This window comes from Homo sapiens, chromosome 4, assembly GCF_000001405.40.
Source record: "Homo sapiens chromosome 4, GRCh38.p14 Primary Assembly".
In the NCBI taxonomy this organism is placed as follows: domain Eukaryota; kingdom Metazoa; phylum Chordata; class Mammalia; order Primates; family Hominidae; genus Homo; species Homo sapiens.
In genome coordinates, this window is record NC_000004.12 from 55,416,853 (window position 1) to 55,426,478 (window position 9,626).

Below are 9,626 nucleotides of genomic sequence, written 5' to 3' on the forward strand. Positions count from 1 at the left end.
TGGCTTCTGAGTAAGCTGTGTTAGGCCTGGGCTAGACCTAATGGTTTATTATTGGTGGAGAGAAAGATCTGGAAATACTTGAGGTTATTACATACTAGATTAGCTTCTAATGTGAACCATTTTTCTTTTAACAGTGATAAATTATTATTTCCGAAGTTAACTGTTCCCTTGGTCGTGATACACACTCGATTAACAAACATACTGTTGTATTTTTTCCAGTTTTGTTTGGCTATGCCACCACAGTCATCCCCAGGGTCTATACATACTATGTTTCAACTGTATTATTTGCCATTTTTGGCATTAGAATGCTTCGGGAAGGCTTAAAGATGAGCCCTGATGAGGGTCAAGAGGAACTGGAAGAAGTTCAAGCTGAATTAAAGAAGAAAGATGAAGAAGTAAGCCATGGCACTGTTGATCTGGACCAAAAAGGCACTCAACTAGGAATAAACACTCTACAGAGGTTTCTCAGTGGCCCCATCTGTGTGATATGCGGGGCTACACAAAAATAGCTTCTTTTGCTTTGTTCTGTTCTTATACCTGTCTGTGATCTGACTTGGGGTTGGTGTGAATGTAGTAGAGAAAGGAAGCTGACAGATGAATACTGAACACAGGTAATCAGTTTCCTTAATTAGGTTGATTATAAGCTCCTGAAAAGCAGGAACTGTATTTTATAATTTTACCTGTTTCTCCCGTGGTGTCTAGGATAGTAAGTGAGCAGAGCAGTAAATACTGTTTGGTTTGTTCAGCTGAGGAGAAACGGAAGAATTGAGACTATAGCATTTGTTGCTGTGTGAGACCAGTGGTTCAGAGGGGAGGTTTGGGGGTCACATAAATGTAGTTTTTTTGGAGCATATTTCATAGAATTTAAACACTTAGAAAAGTCAAGTGATTTGTGTGCTATTTTGATTTGCTTCCTGTGCTTACTTTCATTTGTTTATTATTTATTTTAGTTTCAACGAACCAAACTTTTAAATGGACCGGGAGATGTTGAAACGGGTACAAGCATAACAGTACCTCAGAAAAAGTGGTTGCATTTTATTTCACCCATTTTTGTTCAAGCTCTTACATTAACATTCTTAGCAGAATGGGGTGATCGCTCTCAACTAACTACAATTGTATTGGCAGCTAGAGAGGTGAGTGATATTTGAGAGGAGACTGTTTAAAATGAAACGTAATTATTATTACTTTGTTCCAGAAAACACTGGACACACTGAAGTGGGCCACAGCATTCCTTCATATGCAAGACTGTTTTACATCTGATAATTCAGCTGCTCTCTAAAATTGGCCTTCTCCCAGTTCCTGCTACCTGCAGGTGAAATTCTTGTAACCAAGCTCAGTTGGGCTCTTTTTACTCATCCTTTTCCCTTTGGTTTTGCCAAAATGATGCCGTGGTACTTGTCATCTTAGCTTGGTTTTCTTATCATAGAACTTTCTTTTTTATAGTTGTTGAGAATATAAATCAGTATAATATTATTGAAGGCCATTTTGGTGTTTAATACCTAAAGCCTTAAAAATGTGTAGCTAGCCGGGCTTGGTGGTATGCACCTGTAGTCCCAGCTACTCAGGAGGGTTGAGGTGGGAGGATTGCTTGAGCCTGGGAGGTTGAGGCTCCAGTGAGCTGTGTTCGCGCCACTGCACTCCAGCCTTGGTGACAGGGAGACCCAGTCTGAAAAAAAAAAAAAAGTGTATAGCTTTTCGTTCATGTGTTACACTAAAGAAATTGACTGTTGCACAGACTACTTATAATTATTGTAACTTAGTAAAAATTTAGAAACAGCCTAATAATCCAGCAGAAAATTGGTTCAGCTGTTTACAAATCTCTGTGTAGCTCTTAGAATATTCACTCTTCAACATCATTTCAGTGACATGGAAAAATTTTAAAAGGAGGTTTACTTTTAAAATATAAAAAGAAGGCCGGGTGCCGTCCCTCACGCCTGTAATCCCAGCACTTTAGGAGGCCAAGGTGGGCGGATCACCTGAGGTCAGGAGTTTGAGACCAGCCTGACCAGCATGGAGAAACCCCTACTACTAAAAATACAAAAATTAGCCGGGCAAGGTGGCTCATGCCTGTAATCTTAGCTACTCAGGAGACTGAGGCAGGAGAATTGATTGAACCGGGGAGGCAGAGGTTGCAGTGAGCCTAGATTGCACCACTGCACTCCAGCCTGGGCAGCAGAGTGAGATGCTATCTCAAAAAATTAAATAAATAATATATAAAAAGAACAAAAAAGACTTAAGGAAATAAAAACATTATTTTTATTTCAGTGCTTATCTATCGTTGCGTACTGCTATTATGGGTAATTTATTTATTTACTTTTTGGTAGGGGTGGGGTCTCACCATGTTGTCCAGCCAGTTTTGAACCCCTGGCCTGAAACTTCCTGCCTCAGCCTCGCAAATAATCCTTCTGGGATTATAGGCGAGAGTCACTGCTCTGGCCTAGGTGACTTGTTTGTTTCTGTGTAGGAACTTTTTGTTCAAAAAGTCTTAGCCCAAGAATCCTAAGTTCTGGAGTGGGAAGCTAGAGACCTCAGCTCATCTTGTAGCTTTTACTCTTCAGATGAAGAACCTGACCCCCAGAGAGATCGGGTGACTTGTGTGAGGGAGTAAGCTGGCTGGCTGTGGCCTTCTTCACAGTTGTTCAATGCCACTTATTTAAAACATGCCCATTGGTTTTTTATTTTTTAATTTTTCTTTTGATGGGAATAGCAAGGTTTTATATGAGGCGCCTGTCATTGTTCACACAGATTTATTAAGATTTCATGTGGAGACGGTTGTGGAATGGAATACTGCTGCCACTTTTCAACCTCTTTTTCATCTTAACTGATACTATTTCTTATCTGTGTTTATATCAGATTCTCTTTTTATAAGAGTAAAATTGTTTCTAATTCCTTGGAACTATCATAAAAGAACAAGTTCTTTAATTATAGGCTGTGGTTTAAAATACAAGACAGTTGAAGGCCAGGACTAAGATAGATGGGAAAGGCTATTTTGTCAGGGAAGCCTCAAAAATGCTGTATTTTGGGGAAAAAAAATGGAACTCTGATTTTCATTTGATTCTCATAAAACAAACTTTCTTTAAAAATATCACTTTAATTAGCTGGGCGTGGTAGCGGGTGCCTGTAATCCTAGCTGCTAGAGAGGCTGAGGCAGGAGAATCACTTGAAACCGGGAGGCAGAGGTTGCAGTGAGCCGAGATGGTGCCACTGCTCTCCAGCCTAGGTGACAGAGTGAGACACTATCTTAAGAAAAAAAAATATATATATATATACATATATATTTATTTATTTATTTATTTTATTTATTTATTTAATGGCTGTACCCTATATTCTTCTTGATTTCTAGCCTTTTATTGGCTCTCAGATTGCCAGAGTTGGGACTCAATAGTAAGTAACCATTTTGTTGAGGTGGTAGTGATTCTACCAGGGTGAGTTATCATGACAGCAGAATCACTGCGTTTTTCTCTCTACTCTGTGGCATAGACTCTATGCCATAGAGTGACGTGTGAAAGGCTTGAGGCTCCCTACCTACGAGACACCCTGGTCCATTCTAGCAGTATGGCACGTGCTGACTGGGTTTTGAGTCTCTTGCTGTAAAATCACATTACTGCACTTCCCTGCATTTTCTCATCCAAAAATGGGGATTACCTGCTTTGTGGATCGGTTTGCAGATGAAATAACACACGCAGGGTATCTAGCATGGTCCCCCACATGGCACATTCAGTGTTAGCCACACTTCCATACTAACTGCCCTGCGGGGATATTTAATGAGCTCTTAAATGGCAGAAATGTTGTGTCTTTTCCTGTTCCCTTAGTATTCCTATTTTTGTTGGTAATTTTTCTTATGAACCATGCAGTTGTCTAGTTCAGGCCATTTTAGTATGCAGTTTTATCTTTGCTTCCAACATGATTTAATGTTCCCAAATTGGATTTCACATAATCCTAGTGTCCTTTGAGACTTGAATTGGTTCTAGGCCAAAAAAGGGTGAGGGGGAAGGAAGAAATTCAGAGTCAAATTTGGCAAATAATATATCCCTGTCGTTTTGTTTTTTCTTTTTAAGACTTGGGCCAGGTGTGGTGGCTCACGCGTTTAATCCCAGCACTTTGGGAGGCTGAGGCAGGCAAATCACCTGAGGTCAGGAGCTCGAGACCAGCCTGGCCAACATGGTGAAAAATACAAAAATTATCCAGGCATGGTGGCCCACGCCTGTAGTCCCAGCTACTCGGGAGGCTGAGACAGGAGAATCTCTTGAACCCGGGTGAGCCGAGATCGCGCCACTGCACTCCACTCTGGTCGACAGAGCTAGATTCCATCTCAAAAAAAAAAAAAAAAAAAAAAGACGACTCAGTATACAAATAAAGACTGGAAAGTCCTATATTAAAGGAACTAGTTAAATACTAGTTTATTTTACTTAATCTAGTGAATTTTTAAATATTTTCTTTCTTTCTTTTTTTTTTTTTTTTTTTTTGAGACAGGGTCTGGCTCTGTCAACCAGGCTGGAGTGCAGTGGCACAATCTCAGCTCACCTCAACCTCCACCTCCTGGGCTCAAGCCATCCTCCCACCTCAGCCTTCTGAGTCTGGGACTACAGGTTCCCACCACCATGCCTGGCTAATTTTGTATTTTTTGTAGAGACAGGGTTTTGCCATGTTGCAGAGGCTGGTCTCGAACTCCTGAGTTCATGCAATCTGACCACCTTGGCCTCCCAAAGTGCTGAGATTACGCCCGGCCTAAATATTACTTTCAAATAGAACCATCTTCATGGGTAGCAGTTTATAATACACAAGTAGAATTTGGGAAATGTAGTCCCAGTCTTCCATTCTTCACAGTGGATGCTTCAGCCAGTTTCCTGTCTCTGCACACACACTGCCCGACAGCGGGCTTTCCCTTCTCCTTCAGAGCAGTAGCAGTTCCCTTTCTTCATTCCCACCCATCACAGTGGCAGCCCCCTCTGCCCTCCTGTATTCTGAATCCCACCCTTATAATATGCTTAGATTTTGCCTTTCTCCCAGCCGTTTTGTGAGCATTGTTCGTGTGTACCAATTTTTTCTCATCCTTTAAAAAGAAAAAAAAAAAGCCCCTTTTCTCAATTGTACATCGCAAATCCAACTCTTGCCCTCCTGCAGTGTCAGAGGACTTGGCTGTGATGGGAATAAGCCTTGGCTCTGTTCTCCTTGCATACTTAGCCCATGGGAACCCAGTTTCTGGCCTCACCAGGAATGTTGTTGTGCTTTGAGCTCCCTGTGGCCTTGCATGATGCCTCCGTTGGTCCTTACAGGAGGTGATTGGCTGGCCACCTCACTTGCTTTCTCCTGTGGACCCTTCTTTCTCTGTCCTTCCTTGAATGCTGCCTTTGTCCCTCATGATTATGCTATCAACATTCTTCTCTTTCTGCTTTCTCTGTAACAGGTTTATTGACTCTTTTTTTTGAGAGTCTTGCTCTGTCACCCAGGCTGGAGTACAGTGGCACAATCTTGGCTTGCTGCAACCTCTGCTTCCTGGGTCCAAGCGATTCTTCTGCCTCAGCCTCCCGAGTAGCTAGGATTAGAGACATGTGCCACCAAGTCTGGCTAGTTTTTGTATTTTTAGTAAAGATGGGGTTTCACCATGTTGTCCAGGTTGGTCTCAAACTCCCAACCTCAGGTGATCTGCCTGCCTCGGCCTCCCAAAGTGGTGAGATTACATGTGTGAACCATCCACCCACCCTGATTCAACTGACTCTTAACTTTAAAAATCACATTGGTCTTACCATACATAGTTCATCAATTGTGGGAGAGAAACTTGGGTGTCATGCTTTATTTATTTATTTTTTTTTTGAGATGGAGTCTCACTCTGTCACCCAGGGTGGAGTGCAGTGGCACGATCTCAGCTCACTGCAACCTCAGCCTCCTGGATTCAAGCCAATTCTCCTGCCTCAGCCTGCCCAGTAGTTGGGACTACAGGTGCCTGCCACCACACCCGGCTAATTTTTTGTATTTTTAGTAGAGACAGCATTTCACCATGTTTCAGTCTCCTGACCTCGTGATCCACCCTCCTCGGCCTCCCAAAGTGCTGGCATTACAGGCGTGAGCCACTGCACCCAGCCTATTTTTCTTTTTTTAATAAGAGATGGAGTCTTGCTTTGTCACCCAGGATGGAATTTGTAGCATAGTAGTGTGATCATAACTCACTGTAGCTTCAAACTCAGGCTCAAGTGATCCTCTCACCTCAGCCTCCTGAATAGCTGGAACTACATGCATGAACCACTGCACCATTATTTTATTTTTAAGAGACGGGATCTCGCTGTACTGCTCAGGCTAGCCTTGAACTCCTGGCCTCAAGTGATCCTTCTGCCTTAGCCTCCTGAGTGGCTGGCTCCACTCTGCTTGGCTCTGATATTTTTCCATAAAGCCTATCATTCATTTATCATGGAGGTATGTTAATTTTGCCTTCTTAATTTCTCTCAAATTCACCTGCTCTTTGCCTACAGTCATCTGCCCCGATCTGGGGCAACGCAGTTTCTTCCCAGGGCTGTTGCCATAGCATCGCAGTGGATCACCCTTCCTTCAGTCTTGTTCCCCTCTGGTTCTTTCTCTCCACTAGACTTTAAAAAATTTTTGAGATAGGGTCTTGCTCTGTTGCCCAGGATGGAGAACAATCATAGCTCACTGCAGCCACGACCTCCTGGGCTCAAATGATCCTCCCACCTCAGCCTCCCGAGTAGCTGGGACCACTTGTGCTTGCTAGGATGCCTGGCTAATTTTTAATTTTTTTGTAGAGACAAGGTCTCACTGTGTTGCCTAGGCTAGTCTCAAACTGCCAGGCTCAAGCAATCCTCTTGCTTCAGCCTCCCAAAGTGTTGGGATTACAGGCATGAGCCACTGCACCTGGCCTAGCGGATTTCTGAAGCATTAATCTGTTCTGTTACTTTCCAGCTAAAAACCAACAAGTGTCTGAGGACACAGTTTAAACTCCAAGATGATAGGGTCCTCCCTCACCTGGACTCCCACCTACCCTCATGACCTCCTTTTGTGAAATGCTGAAGGGCTCTGCAGCTGGTTGTCTGGTACTGCTGGCCTTTGCTTTCTATTTAGCATGTTCCTTCTCCCACAAAACAAAATCACATTCTCACTATGCCCTGTTCATTCTTCAGGACTATCTTCTGGGAAACTTTTACTACATACCCCTCTCCCCCTAATCTGAGTGTCTGCTTTGCTCAGGTAACATGTGTTCACTGGATAAATCCTTGATTCCTGGCACTGAGGCAGGGTTTCTGTTCCCAGGAAGCAGAGGCATACTATTCTGTGAAGGATTGACTGAGTTTCTCCTAATACCAAGCAGTATCTGAGGGAACAGATGTCTAGCTTAAAATCCTCCCTAGCACTTGTCATAGCAGTGCTACGTATTGCCTGTGAAGGAAGTTTAATAACTGCTGAAAGGTTCGATTAGCTTTATTTCATCAGGATTTGTTTGACTTTACAAATTGATTTGGGTTATTTCAACTTTTAGGTCTAGTCTTAAGTATAACTGGTACATATTCCTTCAAGCAGCCATTACACCTCTCATAAATTTATTATACACCTGCATTTTTATAACTATTATGCTTTTTAATTGTTGGCCACCATTTTTAGTGCTTCTGAATTGTTATGGTTCTCAAGCAGCAGTTGTCACCTTGGTTTTGAATTAATGCTGTGACGCTTGCTTCCAGGACCCCTATGGTGTAGCCGTGGGTGGAACTGTGGGGCACTGCCTGTGCACGGGATTGGCAGTAATTGGAGGAAGAATGATAGCACAGAAAATCTCTGTCAGAACTGGTAAGTCTTGAAAATTACAAATCAGATAACATTTTAGAATCACTGAGAGATTAAAGGGTGTTAGCTTTGATTATTTAAATTTCTGCTGCTGAAGTATACTTGGTTTTTCTAATTACCTACCATCTCTTATAGAGGTATTAATCCTGGTATTGCAAATACGGACTTTTTTCACCTGTGTAGAAGTTAGCAAAATACAAAGTCATTTTTATCGAATTCATAGTAGCTTCTTGTTAACATATTATCTTAGTAAAACAATTGTCATTTGGAAGTATGAGAAGTTTTTGGCTCTAAAAATGTGTCTTACAAGACTGGAATCATGTGGAGACCATATGTACTGATTCTGCTGAATATGTCCTGTGAAGCCACAGTTAGGTCTAGAGATGGAAGAATCGTCTCTTTGCTAGTCAGAAGACCTGAACATTTTCTTTTATAACTGGATTTTAAGATGAGTTATAGTTCTACTGTTGCTTGCCAGCACTGTCTGGATTTAATACAATCCTGTCATTTCTCAAAACAGTGCTGGAGAAAACCTGATTCTTAGTGTTCACAGTCAAGCATGTTAAGTATTGTTCCTTGTTATGTAAAAGGGGTTGAAGTGATTCTAATTTGTTTTCAAGGTTAGTTTAATAGATTGGAAGAATAATTGGCCGCCTCATCGGCTCCCTTTTCATTTTGTACAGTATCAAGGTATAGGAATTTTACTGTATTTGACTTTTTTTCTCTCTCTTCCAGTGACAATCATAGGAGGCATCGTTTTTTTGGCGTTTGCATTTTCTGCACTATTTATAAGCCCTGATTCTGGTTTTTAACAAGCTGTTTGTTCATCTATATTTAGTTTAAAATAGGTAGTATTATCTTTCTGTACATAGTGTACATTACAACTAAAAGTGATGGAAAAATACTGTATTTTGTAGCACTGATTTTGTGAGTTTGACCCATTATTATGTCTGAGATATAATCATTGATTCTATTTGTAACAAGGAGTTTTAAAAGAAACCTGACTTCTAAGTGTGGGTTTTTCTTCTCTCCAACATAATTATGTTAATATGGTCCTCATTTTTCTTTTGGTGCAGAACCGTTGTGCAGTGGGGTCTACCATGCAATTTTCTTTCAGCACTGACCCCTTTTTAAGGAATACAAATTTTCTCCTTCATCACTTAGGTGTTTTAAGATGTTTACCTTAAAGTTTTTCTTGGGGAAAGAATGAATTAATTTCTATTTCTTAAAACATTTCCCTGAGCCAGTAAACAGTAGTTTAATCATTGGTCTTTTCAAAACTAGGTGTTTAAAAAAAGAGACATATATGATATTGCTGTTATATCAATAACATGGCACAACAAGAACTGTCTGCCAGGTCATTCTTCCTCTTTTTTTTTTAATTGGGTAGGACACCCAATATAAAAACAGTCAATATTTGACAATGTGGAATTACCAAATTAAAAGAGAATACTATGAATGTATTCATATTTTTTCTATATTGAATAAACAATGTAACATAGATAACAATATAAATAAAAGTGGTATGACCAGTGCTTGTTTTTCCTTGTGTGTCATATAAAATTATCAGTATTGATAGGCCAATTTCTAAAGCTGATGTAAAAACACTAACATATTAAATATTTGAGATATGCCTAAAGTAGCTAAACAGGAGCCAGGCATTGTTCGAAAGCATTGTCACCCTTACAGTTCTGTGAGGTAGTAGGTACTAATATAAGGTTAAAAAAGAAAAAAACTAACTCACCCAAGGTTACATGGTAGAGTCACACCAGGCGGTTTAATTCCAGAGCCTAATGTCATTCATTATGCTAAGACTACCTCATTTTTTCATGGCAACT

The 9,626-nt window shown here is 40.9% G+C and overlaps 1 protein-coding gene across 5 annotated transcripts in view; it reads left to right on the forward strand.

Annotated features, from left to right (window-relative positions):
* The window catches only part of TMEM165 (transmembrane protein 165), a 57,441-nt gene that overhangs the window by 20,896 nt on the left and 26,919 nt on the right, over positions 1 to 9,626 (forward strand). For 4 of the 5 annotated variants that reach the window (NR_073070.2, XM_017008412.2, NM_018475.5 and 1 more), the window contains 4 exons: positions 220 to 395; positions 951 to 1,133; positions 7,686 to 7,791; positions 8,524 to 9,323. Coding sequence is in view for 4 of the 5 variants with exons in the window: in XM_017008412.2 (XP_016863901.1) it covers positions 220 to 395; positions 951 to 1,133; positions 7,686 to 7,791; positions 8,524 to 8,600 (542 nt within the window). In the remaining variant the exon portion in view is untranslated. Of the gene's footprint in view, positions 1 to 219; positions 396 to 950; positions 1,134 to 7,685; positions 7,792 to 8,523; positions 9,324 to 9,626 lie in introns of those variants that run through there. The other variant, XM_011534394.4, reaches the window with a different exon arrangement.